The sequence below is a fragment of the Homo sapiens genome, chromosome 4 (genome assembly GCF_000001405.40).
Source record: "Homo sapiens chromosome 4, GRCh38.p14 Primary Assembly".
Lineage (NCBI taxonomy): Eukaryota > Metazoa > Chordata > Mammalia > Primates > Hominidae > Homo > Homo sapiens.
Genome location: NC_000004.12, coordinates 7455385 through 7478530, shown reverse-complemented (window position 1 = coordinate 7478530; position 23146 = coordinate 7455385). Strand labels below are relative to the sequence as shown.

The window sequence follows — 23146 nt, the reverse complement described above, 5'->3', positions numbered from 1 at the left end:
GACTCTACCCCTGCCTCAAGGGAAAGAGTAATGGACAGTGAATAGCTGAATTACAGGGTTCAGCAGGGGTCGGGGCCAGGAAAGAGAGGCAGCTGAGGTACGGGTGGGGACGGTGGGGGTGGCGGTACTCTTTTAAATAAGGGGGTGTGGGAGGCCTCACCTGGAAGGCACATTTCAACAAAGCCCTGGAGGAGGGGGAGCTGGTGACGCAGACCATGGGGAGGGGTCTCCTGGGCTGCCCATAGCCCCTGAAAGGAAGCGAGCCTCCTTCGCAGGCTGAGTGTTTCACCTTCCTCCTGCCTGCAGCGCCCACATCACTGCATACTCACTGCACCCTACACGCCCGGCCTTTTTCAAACTGCCTCACTGGGCAAATGGCTCCCGTTATGGGTGGTCTGCTGCGGGACCCCAGCCTCTGGAGGGGCTGCTTAACACACTGTCCCTTTGCCACACCCTGTGTCTAACTTTCTAAGGGCTCAAGAGGCCCCCGGTGGCTGGGGATGGGCCCTGGGGCTCCAGCAGCCTAGAAGCAGGAAGAAATGTCCCAGGCACCATTCTGAGACACACATCTGAGGGCAGGTGTGCGCGATAGCCAACACGATGACTTTGTGCATCAGTTTACCTCACTGTGAAATGGGTGCAATGGCCACCACCCTCTACTCGGGGACTCTGGAAGGGAAAGTGGCCCAGGTCATCCAGCAATTAAGCCCAGTCTGTTCCACGCTTGTCTCACTCATTTGGAGACAGAATTCTGGGATGGATCTTCATGTTCCTACACACATTTTCTCTCCGGCTTCACTGGGCTCCATGCAGTGGGACAGGAAATCTCATCTCACGGCCATTTGTCTCCATCCATGTCCTCCCGCCTTCTGTGCCCCCTCGGGAATAGACTCCAGTTCTTGACACTGAGCTTTGCTCTGGGGGTCAGACAAGCAGAGGGGAGCCTCAGACCCCGGCTTTGCAGAGCTCTTAGCCAATCCAACTTTGAGCATGTGCAGGCTTGAAGAGCACTGGATCTGGAATGGGAGCCAGCTCACTGGGCCGCTCTGTTCTCCTCAGGAGGCCCTTGCCCTTGGTCAGCCCCAGTCAGCCATGGTCAGCCCCGATCAGCCACGGTCAGCCCCAGTCAGCCATGTCAGCCCCAATCAGCCACGGTCAGCCACGGTCAGCCCCAGTCAGCTGTGGTCAGTCCTGGACAGCCCCAGTCAGCCATGGTCATCCTCAGTCAGACCCCACTGTTATCCATGAGTCTGTCCTAGAAGCTGTCCCCATAGCCAGAAGGATGACTCTGAATGACTCAGGCTATTCCCAAGATTTGGACCTGCCTTGGTGCCGGAGGCCACGTCTTATCTAGAGACCTGTCCACAGCACTGCCCTGCCACGGACTCAGCCCCACAGAGCCCCCTCCCCACGGCCCAGGTGGAACCCTGTGGGCTGTTTCTCCTCCACTGAGGTCACTGACAGCTGCAAGGCCTTGAGTGGGAGGAGTCAGAACCTGGCCGTGTCTGCAGCTGGGGCCCTGGGGGTGACATAAAGGAGGTCAATAAGTTCAGAGCGCCTTGGGGAATTTGCCTGGACAGCAAGGGAGCTCAGCAGGTGTGAGTTTCTTAGACCACATAGCACTGAGTTGGAGATTTGAACCTGGCTGTCTAAGGAAGACCTGCCCCTTCTAGTAAGAGACACAGACAGTAGGCAATGCTGGTGGGATAGGATGTCAAATGATGACCAGAGTCGTGGAGAAAATGGAAGCAGAGGGAGAGCGTGGAGCAGGTGCTGGGCCATGTCCCTGCTTAGAGAGGTGTGGCAAGAGAGGGTTCATGATTGGAGAGGGACTCCTAGCAGGAGGCATGGCCGCCCTGCTGACTTGGGGACTGCTGGCCCAGTGCTGTTCCTCTTGGGGGCATTTTCTACTTGGCTTTTCATCAGGAAAAGGTCTGTGTCACCTTTATTGGCAGAGAAAGGTGACAGGTTTTATGTGTCAACCTGTCTAGGCTATGGTTCCCAGTGATCCAATCAAGCAGTCATCCAGGCGCTGCTATGGAGGACTTTGGTAAAGGAGACCACCCAAAATAACATGAGGCCTTATCCAATCCATTGAAGGCATTGAGAGCAAACACCGACACATCCCAGAGAAGAAGAAACTCTGCCCAGCCAGCCCCAGTCAGACGTGGGCTGCACCCACTCCTGCCTCAGTTACCAGCCTGCAGGCCTGACCTACAGGTTCCTGACTTATAAACCCCAACAATTGCATGAGCCAAGTTCTTAAATGTATCAATCTGTGTCTATGTGTATATCTGTCTATCGACTTCCCTCCATCTGTATCTCTCCTTGAGTACCTGTCCTCTAGCTTCCTGGCTATCCTTCCTAACCATCCATGTCCTATGATTCTGTTTTCCTGGAGCACACGGGCTGGCACATGGCTGAGCCCACCAGCCTGTGGCTCTCAGGAGAGAGAAGCGCCTGGGTATAGGCCAGCGAGAGCCTTCAGCCCCTGCCTGTCTTCCTTCCGCTTGGGCCCACAGTGCCCACTCACTCTCCTAGGCAGCCGAGGGAAGCCCCCAGCCCCAGCCAAGGAGACTGGAGTCCTTCGTCACAGCCGAAGGGACAAGAACATGGACGACAGTGGCACCAGATCCAAGAACCCAGTGTCCTTCAGAGTGGTATCTTCAGATGATGGAGGCCTGGCCTGAGTGCATTCTCTGACTTTGAGTCTGTCACTGGACATGCAGTCTTCCAAAGGCCTGGGCCAGGCCCCAGACCACAGCACCACAGTAAGAGCGGGGAGCAGGGGTCATGTATATGTGCATGTGTGTGTATGTGTGTTGTGTGTGAACATGAACATGCATGAGTGCATGTATGCACATGTACAGGTGCACACACAGTCACGAGTTCTGATTCCTCTTCAGATGTATTCTTCATGTCTGCAGCCACAGGGAAGGGGCTCCAGGATCCTGGGTTCCCTGGGAGACAAGTGGCAGGAGGGGGGCAGCTGGGCTGGCCATGCTCTGTCTCAGCCTCCTGCTTGCTCTGCTCCCAGGCTGGGACACTCCTGTGGCTGCTGCACAGGGAGGTTTCTCAGGCCCTCGGGGGGCCGGCCGAGCCTACCACATGCAGGATGGACCTCAGAGGCATCCGGGCCTCCTCACACTTGGACTTCCTCCTTGCTCGCCCCCTCACCCTTGTGGCAGGTGTTCCACACACTGATCTGCCCTTGTCTTCCCACCATGACCAGCTCTCCATAGTCCCCACTGTTGCCACTCCTTGGCCTGTCTTCCAGGTCCTTCCTTCCTGCCTGGGACTTTCCACCTGCCAAGTCCCAGGCACGGCGGCACCCTATGCCCCCAACCTCCAGCCATAAGGATCCACTTCTCAAAGGAATGTTTTTGGTGGAATCGGGTGCCCCTAAAAGGTATGTTTAAGGCCTTACCCCTGGCATTGGCAAATGGAAACAGGGTCTTTGCAGATGGAACCAAGTTAAGAGGAGGCCAGAGTGGGCCCTAAGTCCAAGGCTGGGTGTCCTTATAAGAAAGTCATGTGGACAAAGACACACACAGCAGGGACAGTCATGTGAAGATGGAGACAGTGACTGGGGGAGGAGTCTGTAAGCCACAGACTGCCAGGGCCACCAGGAGGTGGGACAGCCAGAAGGGAACTCCCCAGGAGCCCATAGAGGGAGCCTGGCCCTGCAGACCCCCTGGTTCCGGGCTTCGGGCTCCCAGAGCTGTAGAGGATAAATGTCTGTTGCTTTAAGCTCCCAGCTGGCAGTCGTTTATTATAGCAGCCCCAGGAAGCAAAGACAGAGACTTCTGGAACTTCCAGACCCCAGTCTCGCTCCACGAGGCTCCCCAGGGTGTTTGTCCACACTCCCCCTCATCTGCTGACTCTGTTCCCAGCTACCTTCTTGGTGACACTGTGGACTGGGCTTCCGAACTGGGCCCACCCAGCACCCCATGCAGAATTCACAGAGCTGGGGACTCTGTGACACTTGCTCCGAGCCCCCTGCTGGCCCATGCCCTCCTGCAGCCAGGGACCGTGCTGCGGACATCAGCCCTAGGGCTGGCCCAGAGTCTTCACCTGGTAAAGACGTGTCCAATATCTGAAGAGTGGGGTTTTGACATTTGCATAAGAGCTCCCTGACATTGAAGGGAGGGATGCCTGTCAGCCCATCAGGCCATAAAGAGAGGCTGGAGAGGGGACAGGAGCCACTCAGGCAGAGCCAACCGCAGAGGGGGCTCTGCCCGCTGACCTCACTGCCCAGCCTGCTGTTTCTGGAGATGTTGCCTCCAACCCATTTTCAAATCTGGCCCTTCCCACATTCATTCATTAATTCATCCATCCACTCATTCATTCATCCAACACCCATCTACTGAGCGCTGAGCAGGTGCCAGGCTCTGGGAGGCCCTGGAGACACGGGGGTGAGCAAAGACAACCACAGAGTCCCCAGCTCTGAGGGGGAGGCCATCAACCGACCAGGGAGCAGACATGGGGCATCTCAGCACATGCCAAGGCACAGAGCTTCATTAGGAGCTTCAGATGGGTGCAGCAGAGGACACCGGATGAAGTTTTTAAAGCTGGGTAACGACATCACCAATGAGCTACTTTTGAAACACCCTCTGGCTGCTGTGTGCAGAATGCACTGGAAGGAGGTGAAGTGGGCATGGGGAACCCCTCTCCCCCCAGACCCCGCCAGAGCCAGGCCTCTTCAATCCTGCCTAGCAGTGACTGCACCAGCCTCCGGGTCCCTGGTGACCCCATGCCAGGACCGCGCCCACCCTCCCACCTCCCCATTGCCAAGTCACAGCCTCCCAGCCAGGAGCAGTTCCTCCCAAAAGGCCCTTCTAGTCCTGCTACCGCCCAGCCATCATCACTGCCTCCAGGGTGACGGACACGCCTATGCTTGGCATTCGGGGCCCTTTGTGACCCGATTCTGTCTTGGGTTTCCAGTCTCACCCCCACACCAGGATTCTTAGGCTTCCACCTGCCAAGCTGCTAGAAGGTTCCATGGGCATCCTGCCTCTGAATGTCTGCATCTCCTGCTGCCTCTGCCTGGAGTGCACGCCCCTCAGCCCTTCCCAACCGCAGGGTGAAGCCCCTCTTCTGGAGCCGCTCCCTGCGAGGAGGTCAGCTGTCCTGATGGGCATCCGTATACCCAATCCCACATTACCAGGGTCCCTGTAGGCACCCAATTGCCCCTGGGCTGAGGGCTCCCTGGGAACACGCCATCTCCCTCTCCTCTCCTCTCAGCCCCTCCCGCATGGGCAGACCCACCCCGCAGGCTCCCGGCTGCAGCCCGAGCCCTTACATTCAACTTGGCAAACACATATTTGTGGATGTTTTATTGATGGGATGTTTGTTCTGGAAGCAGTTTCTGATGTTTGGTCATTAGCATTTGTCTTCCTAAGAATATTCCCTCTTTTGATGCTTTAACATTACAAATATTAATAATCAATGGCCACAAGGAAGGTCGGCCGATATCCTGAGCAAACTCTACCGTGTCTAGCATGCAAAACCCCACAGGCCAGGGGCTCCATACCATTTTTGTTAAAGGAATCAATGAAATAAGATGTAGTATTGACAGTAACGGTCTCCAGGGCTATTTTGTTTTTTTTTTTATGATGAACACTTTGGCCCCATCCACTCAGGCTGTGATTTCTTCTTCACCATCTGAGCGAAGGCAGTTTTGTTCTGTTAATTCCGCCCTCGCCCCAATCAAACCAGGTTCTAGAGTGGGAGCCTCACAGCGGGGAGTCAATTACAAACATAATGAGGCCCCTCCAGCGGGGACCAGTCTCAGCGGAGCCTCGTCTTAATGGGATGGGGCCAGCGGGATGTGACCAGATCCCCTTGCCGCCTCCCACTTCTTCCGGCTTTAGTCTGCCCTCCCGTGTCCTTCCCAGAAGCGCGGCGTGTGTGAAAGAAACATTCGGCAGGGGGCAGGAGGGAGAGGGTCTTTGTCCACTCCTGCCCAGGGCCCTCCCGGAGGGCAGCAGCTGTGCATTCAGGCGTCAAAGCCACAGTCCTTTGTGATCTTGTCCCCCGCTTGCCACAACCCACTAGGCCTGTAGTGCCTGTCCCTGACCAGCTGCAGGCTCTGTGGACACTCCACGCCATCCCCTCATCCCCCTGAGGCGGGGAACATGCCGTCCACTTTGCCTGGACCCCTGCTCCTCTGCCCTTTCCCACTCAGTAAACTCCCGCTCAGCTGTTGCCTCCTCCTAGAAGCCTGCCCTGAATCATCCCCAACCCAGCAGGTGGGGAAAGTGCCCCTGTGCAGCCAGCCCCAGGCCCTTCCCTCCATCCCGATGCATCCATGGACCTGTCTGTCCCTTCTGCTCTTTGGGTCTGAGGCCCCTCTGTGCCTGCAGCAGCCTGCCCAGGGCAGTGCCAGGGACACGAGCTAACAGCACAGAGCACTCCTGAGTGTCCTGGGCCACAGGCTGGTGGTCACAGCCCCCCAGTGCAGGGAGCACTCATCCCCGAGGCATAGACCCCATCTCAGAGAGGTCAGGGTCGAAGCACTAGGGAATGATGCCGCTGAATCGGGTCCTGGGCCTTTCTCCAGAGGGAGGCCAGGTTCTAATCCACTAGGCTACAGGGCTTAGAAGGGCAGCTGGGGGCAGTGCTATGACTGCTTGGACCTAGGCCAGTGCAGTGGAGACTCCAGCAAAGCCTGTGCAGGGGCTGCCCCACTGTGGGTGACTCCGCCTGGGCGTCCTGAAGGTTGCATTCCGCAGACATCACCTCCAAAGCAGGTGGGCTTCCAGGCCCAGAGACAGGGGCCTGATCCCCAGCCAGGGCCAGCAGCACCGAGGGTCCCTCTTCCACACCTGCCTACTCCCGGAACAGGCCTTCACTCGGAACCTGGGCTCTGGGTACAAGGGACGCACCTGGTTCCACCCTCTCCCTGTGTCCCGGACAGTTTGCTCTGATGAGTCCAGGAACCGAGAACGGGGTAGGGGCGGCGAGCCCCGCTGGAGGGCCACTGCTGATCTTCGTTCTGCTCCCTCTTCCCTGGAACGAAGGGGACGTGGCCCAGCTGTCCAGCCTGCACTGTATCATTTAAAATTGCCATTTAGAGCAAATTAGGGCCTGGACAGCCACCGCAGGTCTGTAGGCTTTTCTTATGAATTTATAAATGGAGACCTGGCCGCGTCTGAGGATTTAATTGAAAAGATAATCACAGGGGACCACAGAGCCACTGTCTCCTCATGAGGGGAGAAGGCCACAACATTGCCCTTTGAGAGCAGAAATGTGTTCCGTGAAATCTGAAGATGGCATTGCGCGAGGCAGGAGCTGAGCGGAGCGGGGAAGCGGGGCCGGCGGGGAAGGATGCAGGATGCTGGCCCCGATAGCGGGCGGGTGCAACGCTGACCTGTTCCCAACGCATCTGTCCCTGCAGGAACCCTGTCCTGGGGTGAGAAAAAGATGCCCTTGCCTTTCCCTAGCTGTTCCCTCCACCTAGAAATCTCCTCCCTTGGGTTTTCGCAGGCAGCCCCCTCATTTGGGTCTCAGCTCAGACTGTTGCTCCTGGTAGAGACCCCATGACTACTCTGTCTGACATGGCACCTTCTTGTCACTACTCCCACCCACTCTCATCTGCCTCCTCCTCATCACTCTGACATCACCTCCCTGCAAGCGTGAGATGTTTGCAGAGAACCCTCCAGGTCCTGGGCACTGCTTTAGGTGAGGATGCAGCAATGAGCTCATGCAGGTGAAGCAGTGGGGTGGTCAGAGCGTCACAGGCCTGCCTCCCACTGCCTTGTGGGCTCCATGCAGGCTGGGGCTGGGGCCAGGGCTTTGTCTGTCCCCAAGCTCAGTCCTGACTGTTCTTCCACTGTTTTTCCTCCGAGCCCTGTCTCTCCAATCATCGCCCAGATCATCACCTGTGTCTCTCCAATCCTCGCCCAGACCATCACCTGTGTCTCTCCAAGCATCGCCCAGACCATCACAGCAGCTACCGGGTTCTCCTTCCTAGAATAGCTCACATGGGTCTCCTTGGCCACAAGGCAGAGCCAACCTCTTGCCTGGCAGTTAAAGCCTCCATGAAGAACCCATGCAGCTGTCCATCCCTATCCCACCTGGATGAATGGATGAGTGAAATAATGGGAGGATGGCTGGATGGCTGGATGGATGGATGGAAGGATAGATGGATGGATGGAAGGATGGATGGATGGATCGATAAGTGAGAGGATGGATGTGTGGGTGGATGGGAAGGTGGGAGAATATGTAGATGGATGGAAGGGAGGACGGGAGGATGGCAGGATGGGAGGATGGGAGGATGGGAGGATGGATGGGTGGATGGACCGAGGGATGGGAGGATGAGAGGATGGATGGGAGGGATGGGAGGATGGGAGGATGGATGGATGACTGGATAGATATATTAACTCACTGTTTGACCCTGGACAGTTCAATGAAACAATCTGGGCCCCCTTTCCTCATTTATTAGAAAATGCTCAAGAGGGAGGAGCGTTTTCCCTTGGCCATGAACTTCCCTGGAGGACACACTGGACCTGCTGGCCCTGTGACTTCAGTACATCTTTGTGGCCTCTGGCCTCCACTCTTCTTTCTTTTTAAGAGTGCTGAGCATGAAGACCCATTGTTTGATAACAATTGTCTTCCTGTCTCTGATGACAAACTGAGGAGCCCACTCTCTGTGCCACTGATCTCAGAAGCCTGTTCGCCTCCCCATGAGATGCCAGGCAGTGATTGTTTTTAAACAGCCCTGCAATGAGAAGGAAAGAAATTCTTTGCAGGGGTTCTCAGCCTTGGCTGCAGATTGGAATCACCTGGGGAGCTTTTTAAGCAGACACAGGAGCTCCACTCCAATCCAATTTAATCAGAATCTCTGGAGGCAGGGTCCAGGCTTCATAATCTGTAGGCCTGCCCAGGAGACTCATGTGCAGCTAGGACTGGGGATCTGTTGGCAAGAGACTTGGAAGCCTCAGTGGGGCTGGAAGGAAGCTACAGACTCAGGCAGGCATTTTGAGAGCAGGCTCTGCCTGGATAAACAGGGCTCCTTTTGGAGGTTCTGATACATCACCTCCTGCTCTTAACCTGCCAGGGAGCCTGAGGGAAGATACATGAACCGCACATTCCAACCACAGCTTAGGATTAGGGTTTGCACAGAAGCAACCAATGCATTCCCAAAGCACTGAATTTCGGGGAGAAAGAACTTTTGTGAGCACTGTCTCTGCGTTCTATTTTCCAGTCCCTTGCTATGAGGTACATCATTGTCATCATCATCATCATCATCATCACCAACACCACCATTACCATCACCTCCATCACCATCATCACTATCACCACCGCCATCAACAGCATCATCACCACCACCACCATCATCGACATCACCACCATCACCAGGACCATCACCACCATCATCATCATCACCACCATGACCACTATCAGCACCATCACCACCACCACCATCACAGCCAGCCTCACTATAATCACCATCATGTCTTAACTCCTTGTCAGGCTCTGTGTGAAGCACTTTAGGAGTGTTCCTCATTTCTACCCTCACAACAACTCTTCAGAGTAGTGCTGTTCATTTTTCCTATTTTACAAATGAGCACATTGCAGTTCAGAGAGGTTAAGTGACTTGTCCAAGGTCACACGGCCACCAGATGTGGAGCAGGGAGAGAAACACAGAGCTGCCTGACAACAGATACGGCGTTTTGGATAGGAAGGGGAAGATCAAATGCAACGTCCAGACCCAAACCCCCGAATGTCAGAGAGCATCCTCACCTTTCAAAAACCTAATCTCCCCCAAACAATGCTGACAATAAGAATCTGTCAACAGATGGAAGAGATGGTTAGGATCCAAAATAAGCAGCTGGGACTAGAGAGTGCCTTTCAAGTGATCAAGATGAAGCTGGGTGAAGCGCCATGCCAGGCCTTGCTGTTGCACTGTGAAAGCACAAGAACGCTTATTCATTCACTCTACGCGTTGATGCATTCAACAAACCTTTCCAAGTGCCCCCACTGCACCCAGAACCATGAGGCTTCTTGGCTGTTACACAGAAGGAAAGTAACCCCCATCCTCGACGCTATGCACACATCTTTTTTCAGTGTATTCTTCTCAAATAGATAGTCCCAGGCAACTGCCATGTTCCAGGCCCTGGGCTGATCCCATGAGTACTGCGAGGATGGAGACATAGCGTGAGGGGGATGGGAGCAGCTGAGTGACAGCCATGCATACGAGGCTTCGGGTGCTGCAGGACTCAGTCACCATCAACAAGGTTGCGACCCATGACGATGTTAATAGTGGTAGCTCCATACCTGGAAGGAGGACGGTGGAGTCCCACTTAGACCTGGGGCTATTCACACAGAAGCCTTGTAATCAGTACTTAGGGGGAACAAGGAGAACCAGAGCCTGCTCAGAAGAGGGTGGCAGAGTGATGTAGGGGCAGAGAACAACTGTGCCTTGCAGGGGACAGTTGAGATGGAAACAGATGCGGGAGCTGGGGGCACTGAGGGAGAACCCGCTGCCATCCTCATACCTCGGTGTGGCTCCATGGGGCAGAAAGGTACAGATCTTGCTTCTGAAGCCAGGAGGACAGAGCCAGCCCCTTGGGCAGGAGCCCACTCAAACCCAACCTGGCAGCTATCTCCTGTGATAAAGAGGCCAAGGGGCTTGAGCCTCCCAGGGACACACCAGCAGAACAAATTCCTGAGATGTAGAAAAGCACCCAGGAAAGCTGCAGAGGAACCCTTGTGCGGGGACCGGCTCCGGGAGCCACAGCAGCCAGGGCTAAAGAGTACTTTGGAATGCAGCCCCTCATTTTGTGGCAGTGGCCGCTGAGACCAAGAGCTGGGTGGCATCTCCCCCAGAGGCCAGAGCTGGGACTGGAGCCTAGGGCTGAGGGAGCCGGAGCCCTGGCTCCTTCAAGATTCAGGAGGCCTCTGAAGCTTAGTGCAGGCCCCGCTGAGCTGTGAGCAGCAGGCAGCCTCCAAGTGGCATAGACTGCCCAGGCCCACACTCAGGAGCTGGGTGGCTCCAGCCCAGCTGCCCTCTGACTTCTGTCACCTTATGAATGAGATGTCACTTGACTCGGAGGCCAGAGTGATGATGAGAGCTGTGAGGACAAGGTGACCTGGCAGTCGCCACCTCCTTGATCACCCAACCCAGAGGCCAACCGAAGGCCCCAGGGTGAGCTCCTCATCCCAGGGCCCCAAGAAGAAAGGACAGCAGATCTGAGTGGGAGCCCTAGGGACCCTTCCACTCTCTGCTGCTGTCCTGGCCACAGTGGATACGGACAAAGGCAGCAGCGTGGGGGCTGTGGATGACACGTCATTCGCCCATGTCTGGCAGCTTCCAACAGCAGCACACAGGCCTTGCTGCCTCCTGGACATCCAGGGGACCACTTGTGGCATGCTCTGGCCAGGAAAACTGCAGCTGCCAAACGCCTGGGGGGACGCCAGGCTGGACCGTGGTGGGAGTTTTAGATGCTGAGACAAAACCACACAATGCTTCAGTGTCTTCCCTCCAAACACTCTGCCTCTGTGTGGGCTGTGTGCTCCAAGCCAAAGAGCCACAGAGCCACTGAGCCACCTGCATACATACAAGCCCCACCCATCTCCAAAGAGAAAGGCAGCAGGGTGCCTCCCCTGGCATTTAGGTCCATTTCCATCCCAGCCCTGTCCAAGCACATGGCAAATAGAGGTCAAGTGACAGCGTCCAACCAGGTTCCAGGACCTCCCAAGTGCCTATGCCTCCCAGCACCCCTGGGCCGATTCTGGAACCACTTAGGGAATCGCCCAGCCAGAAAGCTGGGAGTCTGCCTGGATTTGCCGTCTTCCACACCCTGTATGTAGTGGGCCACCCACTGGTTCTGCCTCCCACCTGTATTCCCTGCTCCCCGGGCTCAGTCCTCACCAGCTACTGCCTGGGCCAAGGTGCCCACCTCCTACAGGACCCCGTGTTTCCAGGCTGCCCCTTTCCATGGGTTTCCACTGCAGCCAGAGGGAGAATGGGGTATGGACGTGAGGCCAGGTGAGTGTGTGCCTGTGTTAGAGATGACACAGTCTCCAGAACTGGCTCATTAAACTGCTTCTCTCCATGCACCCCCTGCCCCCATACCAAGACCACATTTCCCAGCCTCCTCTGAGTGGGGCGTGGCCACGTGACTGAGCTCTGGCCAGCGGAATGTGGGCAGAGTCCTGGGTGCCATGGTGGACCAGCCCATAACACCCTCCCCCGTGGAATCCCGCCAGCCTCTCCTTGTCTCCTAGATCTGGAGGAGGGCAGAGCCACAAGGAGGCAGGAGCCTGGGCCCCTGATTGACTGCAGGGGCGTGAACCAGATGTACTCTCACCCCCACCTGCCCTGAAGTTCTCATCAGACTGAGACAAGACCAGGAAACACCTTTTGGTTTGGGGACGTTTGTTCCAGCAGAAACCACTCAGAGAATGCTTGCACATTCATATCCCTTTGTGTGGAAAAAATCTGGATAAATGAATACCCATGATGTGGATAGCAATAGTCTTCGAGCTGTGAGATTTGGGGCAATTAATAAAAAATTTCTATCAACCTGGAGCCCTGGGTTCCCACCCTGGCCCTGCCCCTGCCCCAGGCCTTCTGCCTTGCATGGATCCTTGGCCTGTCTGCACCTCTGTTTCCTCATCTGCAAAACGGGAATGATGAGAGAACCCACCTCCCAGGGTCATCATGGTTTACTCCTGTAAACACTTAGCCCCCCACTAAAAAACAGCAGCGGCTAATAAGCCATGCCTTTGTCTGGGCTTGCGTTCTATTCACCATCTTGATGGAGATTACATATCAACCTCTTGTACATGTGTAACTATTAGAAGCGGGGAAGCCTTATTGTCCTTGGTGAGTAGGACCATGTATGAATTTTCTTTTCAATATTTTCTACATGTTCTAGAATGTCTACGTATCTTTATAAAGGAGAAAAAACGAACTTAAAAGAAAAGTGCACACATATCTCCAGCACAAGCCCCTGGAGAGGGGGACACACATTACTATAAACACCAAAAACAGCAGAAAGGAGATGGCTCCAGCTCCTGGCTCCTCACAGTGCCTGTGCCCACCCTGGCGCCTTGCACAGGGAAGCCTGTCACCTCCAGCCACCGGGAAAAGCCCACTCACCCTCCCCTCCCAGCCAGCTCCCACAGCAGCTTGGATAAAGCCCGAATACCACATATTTTACATATAAAGAAACTCGCAAGATGTGTGCCCTTCTGCTAAATTAAAAAGGAAAAGCAGTATTAACAGTGCAAAGACAAATGGCAACCGCTGAGATTAAATATTCATGCCCTGGCAGCTCCTGAGGGCTAAATGCAGGAGAATGTTGCCATGGAGCAGAGGCCTCCTGCTCGGGGCTGCCTGGTCCGCGCCCATCCCCTGGCCCCAGCAGAGCATCCTGGGCCTTCTTTCGCCCAGCGGCCCCGGGTGTCATTCACCCATGAGAAGCTAATACTGTCCTCACTTCACCACAAAAACCCTGCAAGGGGGGTGCTTTGTCATCCTCATTTTCTAGAGAGGTGACATAACCTGGGCAGAACCCCCAGCACTTAGGGCAAAGGTCAGGACACCACGTGGCCTCAGGCTGCAGCGAGGAGCCGCCGTGGAGGCCGGGCTGTGCTGCCGGGACCCATGGCCGGAGGCGCCGGCTTTTAGAAGGAAGGCAGCATCACCCACCTCTCCCATTCCCCATCTGCATTTCTCAGGCCCCTCCTCTGTGCTAGGCACTATCCCGATGCCCAGCACAAACAAGTACATTCCATAGTGCCGGAAGTTCAGAAAGTCTGGACTATGGAGGAAATTCAAGGTGAGCTTTCTGTTTTTTATTTGTCATTGATCCCAATGGAAATGGTCAGAGTACACCATTTTTTGGGATCCCCAAAAGTACAGCAGCCCCTAGTCCTACCTTTGAATGGGTACAAACTCTCACCCTAAAATAATCCATTCTTGATGCAACACACACCGTTCTAGACTACAAACCTAACCACATAGCCCTTCTCTGCTGCAAATCCCTCTGCAGCACACTTCCCCTCGGGGCTCAGTCCAAGCTAGTTAGTGTGGCATTCCAGGCCCTGCATCTGCCAACCACCGCTCCCACCAGCCCTCCACAGGCTGCGGCTCCCTTTTCCCTGAATAGACCACAGCCCCTCCCTCAGGGCATCCAGAGCTCGGGCAGCCTCTCCTAGAGTGCATTCTTTTTCCCCCTGGTGAACTTCTATTCATCCCTCAATGTCCATCACAAAAGAGCCCACCTGTTCCACCTCCATGGAGACTTCTACTGGCTTCTCCAGCTAGAGTTAGGGGCTCACTCATGGGTAGTTGGGTGGGTTCTGCAGGTTGAATCCCAGCACTGTGACATCGCCTGATGGTGAAGCTGCCTGGCCCATTTTGTTCCTCTACAGTGGAAAGTTCCAGGCTGACCAGGTGTGTTCAGTCCACTGCGGCATCCAGCTCTTAGCTCACTGCCAGCCCAGTGTAGAAGCTCAACACACGCTTCCTGACTGAATGAGTTAATGAATACTTGGGTTCACAGTCAGTTCCAAAAACCAAAAAAGGAGAGGAGCCACTCGTGCCAATTCTCGATCCAACGTCCCAGACTCATCAGTGTGGGGACTCAGGGGTGCCTGTTTGAAATCACCAGCCTCCGCACCTCCCCAGTCTCTGCTACTGTATCTTGGTTCCCAGTGTGACAGCTGGGAAACCAATTCCACACCAGTCCGGCACGCATCAGTATGTAGGCGGCGCAGGGCTCCTGCTGAAACACTAATCAGGGCCGTTAGTATGCACGGCGCGGTGCTCCAGAGCGGTGCAGGAGAGTGGCACCACCGTCTCCCCAAGCCCGCCCAACTTTCCTCCCTACTATTTCCAAATTCAGCAAGCACAAATCACTGATCTTATTTTTCCACTAAAGTTAAGCAACAAATTGCTTTGCCAGCCTCCAGCGTTGATTGTTTTAACAGAGACGTGGAGAAGGATAAGGCCTTTTCCAAGGATGGGGGTCTGTTCCTGGAGGCCCTGGAGTCGAGAGCTTCTGCGCCCCCACCCCCAGGGATTTTCAACAAATAAAACTCACACCTCCACTCTGGGAAGGAAACATTTACTAAGTACCTACTATGCGCTGGAGTCTCCTTTTTAAATCCCCTTTTCAGAATATGTGAGTGAAGCTTCAGGGAAGTCAAATAACCATTCCCTTCCTATCCCCAAGGTCACACAGCTGGACTATGTCCAGTTTCAAAGCCGGGTCTGATACCACAGCCCCATTTTCTGAGTAACGGGCTGTGCAGCAAATCCTATAACATGGACCAAATCCAGCAGTGCCCCCTCTTAATCCCGTAGTCATTCATTCAGGAGGCTTCTCAACAGAGTGGTCAGCACCAGGCTTCGGGGCCAGGCTCCCTGGCCCACTGCCCCTTTATCCCTAGGCTCTAGACAGTGACTCAGTTTCCTCACCTGTACAATGAGGATGATAACAAGAACACTGAACTGGAGGGGCCTTTGTGGGGCTGTTGTCACACTGGGAGCTGAGATACGGTGGCAGAGACCAGGGAGGTGTGGTGGCTAGTGATCTCAAACAGGCACTCCTCAGTCCCCATATTGGCAAGCCTGGCACACGGGATGGGGAATTGGCAAGAGTGGCTCATTTCTTTATTTGTTTTTTGGAACTCACTGGGAAATGATAATAGCATGTTGTGAGCGCTCCCTCTGGCGAGTGCACCGTGACAGCAGATAGTGAGTGCTCACAACATGCTGTTGTTATTCATTCACTCTGCAAGTGTGCACCGGCTTCTTCCGTGCACAGGGGCTGGGGCCCAGCTGGCCTCCTTTATTCACTTAGCTCCTCCTGCGTGCCAGACCCAGAGCCAGGGACTGAGGTCGCCAGGATGAACAAGAGGCTCCATCCCTGGAAAAGGTCACTCTGACAGCAGAGGGCACTCTGGAAACAGATGACAGTGCCACGCATGCTTGGACTGTGAGTCGCCTCCAGGTGCACCAGGAGGGGAGGAATCCAGGCTTTAGAGCCAACGTCTCTGGAGTACACTGAGGGCACTGCCTGCTTTTATCTGGGCTTCTGCACATCAGGGACCCCTGGCCTACTGATAGGCTTATAAAAAGCATAAAACAAAGGCCAAAGTTCTTAGTCCCACTCCCAGCCTCCCGAAGCCCGTCTTTAGATCCTTCGTGCTGCCCTTTGCCCCATTACATAGATGAACAAGCTGAGGCTCATGAAGGTACGTGATTTGCTCACATCTCCCGCTCACAGGTGAGACATTTGGGATTAAAGTCCCAGGCTGACTCCAAAGTCTCCCCATCCACCTGTCCCTGCGTGAAGCACCGGGCAGGAGAGCTGGCGCCCAGCACAGCCTTAACAAATGTCAGCTCGTCTCCCCACCTCGGAGCCCAGGGAAGAGCGAAGCACACAGGCCGGGCTCCAAGGCACTCTGGGTGGCTCTCTGGGCATCCTCTCCCTTACACTCACTTGCACTGTGGCTTCTCTTGACAGTTCCAATAATTCCTTAGAACTTTGGGCACAGAGACAGGTGAGCCTGATGCGGTGCCTTTCAGATGCCAGCTGTGTCCAGCTGCCGTGGGACAGCAGAGGCACTGAAGCCTGCAGGACAGCAGAGGCACTGAAGCCTGCGGGACAGCACCTCCCAGGTGTGCCTGGAAGCTCCAGGGGTCTTGTTAATATGCAGATGACAGGTGGGCAGATGTGGGGTGGGGCTTGATGTGTGGGTTCCCAGGCCATATTTTGGGCAGCAGGGGTTGGGGAGCTAAGAAGGGGTCAGAGGTGAGGCACCCAGAACGCCCTGTCCAAGCCTCTGGGCTATATCCTGAGGATGGCTGCAGACCGTGGAAGGGCCGGGGAGAGAGCTCCTCGCTGGGTTTTCTCTGTCACCCCAGCAGCGAGGCTGCTGCTACGCTCCTCGGATCATGCAAACATGCTACAGTGCCACTTCATTTCTCATTATGTCCTTGGAAATTTTCTGTGTGGGATGTGATTTTGTCACGTGCATGAAAATCCCAGCACAGTGCGGCGTGAGTCCATGTACACATGTTGCTCGCGGGGGTGCTACAGGTTTCCCCACTGATCACACGCAGTGTGCAGCCACCATGCAGAGGCGGCCTTGGCGCGGCCAGGCTGACAGCCCAGAGGTCAAGCTGGAAGCTCGGCCATCCCCCTGCTGGTGAGGCGGGACTTTGGGGGAGGAAGATAAAGGCAGAGGGGAAGGAGGGCGGGGGCTCCAGCTCCAGGGGCTGCAGACGCCCCCACAGCATCTTTCACGTTCAGAGATGGAAGCAAGTCCTGTGACGGCAGAGGGAAAGAGCGAAGGCAGTAATTATTTTATTAAGGACCAGGAAATGATGAATAATTTAATTTGGGGAGAGAGCTCATCACTGATCGAATCACCGCATCCTCAGTCCTGACATGGCCTCCTCTCTAATGTCCTCTGATGTTTGTGGCAGGGCATCTTGAAGAAGCTTCCAGCAAGCTTCAGGTCTGCCTGCAGCCTGGCATTTCTGACACTCCCCGGGCAGCAGGTGGCAAGGAGCAGCACGAGGATGATGGAAAGAGAGGGGGGAGAAATGAAATCCTCGATGGAAACCGGGTGCCTGTGTTGAGTGTGGTCCCATGAAAAATTCAAGCTGCGAGCTTGGCCGTGTGTAGCCGATGCACGGCCCAGGCTTCAGGAGGCGACTGTGAGTTCACGGCAGGGTCACGGCCACAGATGTGAAAATGCAACATCGAGCTGTCACGTGACCGCTGAAAAGTGACCTCATGGGACACCCAGGATTAGGGAGCGTGTTGAGTTACTCCCAAGAGCTGAATATCCAGCCAGGTCCTATTCCCTTTCCCTCCACATTCCCACCTACAAGAAACTAATGTCACCAAATCTCGATTACACAGCTCTCGGCATGCAATTCCGACATGCCTGCAGCTGTTCCCACAGACACGGATGCCACTCCAGTCATGGAAATGCACCATGGGGTCTAAGCGGCCAGAGGGCCTTGGAGCGGCTCTAGACACAATGGCGCAAGGTGGGCTTGGGAAAGCTGTGGGGGTACGTTGGAATTCACTGAGGCTGCAACTCCAGGCTGCCTTTTGACCACCGAGCTGTTCTGAAGCTGGGGGAGTCTGGCACCCCGAATGTCTGGACCTTAGAAGTGTGCAGGGGCCCGTGGAAGCTGCGTTGGCCACCGACTGGGGTTGGCTGGTTAGTGCCCAGGTGGGCCCCATCAGAAAGATGGCAGCATCGGGGACCATGTCCTCTGGGGCTTAGGGCATGGCATCGCTCAGTGTGAGGACCCCAAGGTACCACTGCCTCATTTCCCTTGGGCCCGCCCAGGATTCTACTAGCTGGCACGCTGGGTGGGGAGCGGGGGTACTCTCAACCCATTGGCTGGCTCAGACCCTCAAATAGCACTGGGCACCATGCAGGGGGAGGGACTGCTGGGTCACCTGACAAGGTAGAGGAGCGCCAGGCCCCGGCAGCAGCTCAGTTACCCTAAATGCCCCTCGCCTACCAGATTGGATGCTCAGGGCCACTGGGCTCTGCAGGGGTGGCCCTGGATGACATGAAGGACGTGGTCTCCCCCACCACCCACTCTGCCAATGCTCCCAGCTGCTCCTTGCCTCTCTCCCTCCCTACCAATTGGGGGCAGAAGCCACCTGCCCGGGTACTTCTCCCCAAAGTGGATGGCCCTGGCTAATGCCCTCAATGTGACCAGGCTGGCTTCACAGGACCCTCAAGGCTCCTGAACCCAACCAGGCGACATCCCAGAGGGTGATGGGAGCAGGGCTGGCCATGGAGAGGCTTGTCTGGAGATGGGACACTTGAGGCCATGCTGGGAAGTCCTCCTGAGCACTCTGAGACCAGAGAGACCAGTGGCCTGGACACCCCAGGCTGGGCCAGGACAGATGCCCGGGGAATTCAGAGCTCTGAGAGGCGGCTGCCTCACTTCCCGGGGCCAGGCATCGTGGCATCATCATCATGGGCTTCACTAACCACCATGGGGCCCGGCCATCATGGGTGTCACCTTATTCAACTCTCACGTCCACCTGGGAGAGAGGAACTGAATGGTAAAGCCCATTTTACAGATAAGGAAACTGAGCCAGACAGGGGCTCAAACTCAGCAGCTGGGCTCAAGCCTGCAGCCTCAACACCACCGCCTTTCTGTGCCTGACCCCCACCTCATGTCTCCCTAGTACAAGGCCTGCCATATGCTTGGGGTTGGGAGAGATGCCTTCTCCATAGCAATACTTAGGGGTGCAAAGGATCCTCCCTCTTCTATAGTTGAGGAAACAGAGACTCGGAGAAGGGTGGAGAGACTCGCCAGCGTCCCATGGTGGGGCAGGGAGGGCTCGGATCTGAGCTCTGTGTGGCTGGGTGAGTCCAAAGCCACACGGTCTTCACTGCACCCCTCAGGGCCACACCTTTGCGCACACAGAAGAGTGTGCCCCCAGCCCAGGGGAGCAATATCGGGGAGGACGTGGCCTTTGCCACGCGCCTTAGGAGCCCAGCAGGCTTCTCTCTGACCCCTCCATGCACCCCCTGCCGGCCCCCACACTCCACCAGGCCCAAGCCCAGTCCCCGCAGCCAGCAGAGAAGCCTTTGCACACATGGTCCCACAGCCAGTTATACCCTTTTCTCCTGGTCCCAAAGGCCAACTTCTGCTCATTCCTTAGGGCTCCATTAAGCATTGCCTCCACCAAGAAGACTCCCCTGACCCCTGGGGACACCACCACTGCTCCCGCTATGGTGCCCGGGACCCCCTTGGGGTGGCCTGAGCCCCAGGCTGTCCCACAGGACAGTGGGCTCCTCCTGGCTGGGACCTTGTCTCGGTCACCTGAGTCTCCTGTCCAGCCTAGGCCCTAGAGAAAGGACACTCAGGTCAAGTTTGATGAGCAAATAAATGAAAGCGAGATCATCCCACATCAATCTCATTAGGCAAAGGTGTTTAACAAGTTTTAAGCAGCAGGAAGTTTTGTCCAAAATGAAGTCTAACCTGAAAGGGCTATGTAGGAGTGAAGCATGAATGTCAGGCTGCTTGGTTTGGGGAATGGGGACCATGGGGGAATTCTCCACGGTTTCCCCACATCCTTCTTTGCTCAGGGGCCCCCAAAGGACTCAGGGGAGCACAGCTGGAAAACTACTAGCATTAACACGCAAGACCAGACCTGCACCCAGCCCTGCTCCGCTGAGGCACAGCCCTCCCCCTGCTCAACAACCCTCAGTGTCTCCCTAGTACCTACAGTAGTGAGTACCGTCTCCCTGCCTCCAACCTACAGCCTGTGCCAGCCTCTGGCGTCAAACTTCCCTGCCAGCCCCGCCTCCCCCCGCCCCACAGGAGGACTCAGCAATGCCTTCCCAGGCCTCGGTGCTGCCCACAAGATCTTCCCTCTTTCCGGAAGACCCTTCCCTCCCTCAAACTTTTCGCAGAAGTACTGTGTCACCTATGGCACCCCTGAGGGGAGTTGGGCACCCACTCAACCAGGTCAATGGGCAGTTTTGTTTTGGGGTAACCAGGACATCCCAGGAGCTGCAGACCAAATGCCCCTGCCCTACGGCCTCTCGGGCTAACAGTGTGGACGTCCCTGCCCCGCAGCCTCTCGGGCTAGTGGTGTGGACACCCCCGCCCTGCAGCCCTCCTGACCTCTCCAGAGGCCCAACAGGCAGCTGTGTCAGCTCAAAAAACTAAAACCCCCAGGGCCTTCCAGTTTCCCTTTCTGGCCTCTTCCCCAGAGGCCATGAAGCAGAGCAGCTCAGGCAGAGACACAAAAGGAAAACACCCCTGATGCTGTTCCTGGTGTGAACCAGGCCCTCTGGCCACAGCTCACACCTGTCAGCTTGCAGTGTTCACTGGGGCATGCTCCCTGGTGTGAACCAGGCCCTCTGGCCACGGCTTATACCTGTCAGCTTGCAATGCTCACTAGGGCACACTCCCTGGTGTGAACCAGGCCCTCTGACCGCAGCTCACACCTGTCAGCTTTGTGATGTTCACTGGGGCACGCTCCCTGGTGTGAACCAGGCCCTCTGGCTGCGGCTCACACCTGTCAGCTTGCAGTGTTCACTGGGGCACGCTCCCTGGTGTGAGCCAGGCCCTCTGGCTGCAGCTCACACCTGCCAGCTTGCGATGTTCACTGGGGCACGCGGCTCCCTGGCCAAAAGCCACTCGGGGCCCAGGTGCTGTTGTCCCTCCCCACCTGCAGTCCTGGCCTCTGCCTCCAGGCCTGGCTGCATGTCCTTTCAGGGATAAAGTCACCTCACCCAGCACTGAGGCCATCTACATGGAGATGACAGGCTGGGATTCAGGTCCAGTGCATGGCGGCTGGGAAGACAGAATATGCCTTGGGAAAAGCTAACTGGTGGCGGGGAATCTGTCCGGGGGCTGTCGTGTGCTGTTCACTCTGGTTGACTGATGTCAGTCAATCAACATGCATTTTTGACACCTACTGTGTGCTGGGTCCTGAGGAATTCTGGAATGTCAAGGAGCAGGGATGGACAGAAAGGTCTCTGCCAGCACCATGCCCAGTGTCAGGCTCGGCCTTCACCCTGACCTCGTCGACTCACCCCTCACCACAACCCTGGAGGTGGCTGCGTGCACCCAACCAGGGGTGAAATGGAGCGTGGAGCAGTGAAGCCTTGCCCAGGGCCAACCACTTCTAAATGCCAGGGTAGGGTGGGGTGGGGTGGAATTCTGCAGGCCCCAAAGCCTGTGATCCTTCCCTCCACACTGATCGTCGAGAGATGACCCTCCACCCCCCTACCCCTGCCACAGGGGGACAAGCAGCAGGCACCCAAGGTCTGGCTCAAAGCCACTGAGCAGCAGTTCCCTCTGTTCAGATCTCCTCTGTGCCCAGAGCAAAAATCCAAGGGTTTGCTCTTGACAGCCCCTTCCTGCGTTACCCTCTCTCCCAGGTGGGGACAGAGCTGCTGGTCACAGAAGCCACCTTCTTCTCCAAGCATCCCCCAAGCTCCAAACACCATTGTTGTCCTCAGGTGGGGAGGGACAACAGTGCCCGGACCATTTTATGTTTCTGTCCTCAAAAGGAGGCCCCCCCCCTCTCACCCTTCAGGCTTATGGGTGGGAAACAGAGGAAAAAAATGCATGTAAAGGTGGATGGGCAGCTTGTCCTGAATGTGAAACAGAGACCAACTCTTTGGTGGCTGTGATTTCCCTCAGCAGAAGGGAAATGCCTCATTCGCATAATTTCATTCATTCATTCATTCATTCATTCACATCACAAACACCAGTGAGCTCCTGTCATGGGCAGAATTGTGTCCACCTGAAATGCCTGTGTTGAAGCCCAATACCTGATGTGACTGTCATTGGAACTAGGACATTTAAAGTAACTAAGGTCAAATGAGGACATTTGGGTGGCCCCCTAGTCCAACTGGACTGATGTCCTTATAAGAAGAGGAGATCAGGAAACAGACACATAGAGGGACGACCACGTGAGGACACAGGGAGATAGCGGCCATCTGCAAGCCGGGGAGGGAGGCCTCAGGAGAAACCAACCCTGCCTACACCTTGGTCTCAAGCTTTCAGCCTCCAGAACTGTGAGAAAAGGAATTACTCTTGTTTAAGCCCCTAGTCCCAGGTATTTTGTTTTGGCAGCCTGAGTGGACTAACACAGCATCTGATGCTAACCCGGCGCCTGATACCAGCACAGCATGTGACGCTAACACAGAATCTGAACCCAGTACAGAGCATGACCCCAACACAGAGCCTGACCCTAACACTGCGTCTGACCCTAAAGTGGCTCATGACACTAACACGGAGCCTGACCCCAAGACGGAGCCTGACCCCAAGATGGTGCCTGACCCCAACAAAGCTCCTGACCCAAACACAGCACCTGACCCCAACACGGAGCCTGACCCCAACACGAAGCCTGACCCCAACACGGCGCCTGACCCCAACACAGAGCCTGACCCCAACACACAGCACCTGACCCCAACACACAGCTCCTGACCCCAACACAGTGCCTGACCCTAACGTGGCGCATGACACTAACACGGAGGCTGACCCCAACACGGAGCCTGACCCCAACACGGAGCCTGACCCCAATACAGCACCTGACCCCAACACACAGCTCCTGACCCCAACACACAGCACTGACCCCAACACAGTGCCTGACCCCAACACAGCACCTGACCC

At 55.9% G+C, this 23146-nt stretch overlaps 1 protein-coding gene and 1 non-coding gene across 9 annotated transcripts in view; both read right to left on the bottom strand.

Annotated features, from left to right (window-relative positions):
- SORCS2 (sortilin related VPS10 domain containing receptor 2) overlaps window positions 1–23146 on the bottom strand; it is a 550290-nt gene that overhangs the window by 264297 nt on the left and 262847 nt on the right. The window lies entirely within an intron of this gene.
- On the bottom strand, window positions 18413–18503 carry MIR4274 (microRNA 4274). The gene has a single exon (NR_036238.1). It is a non-coding gene; the product is annotated as a microRNA 4274 (primary transcript).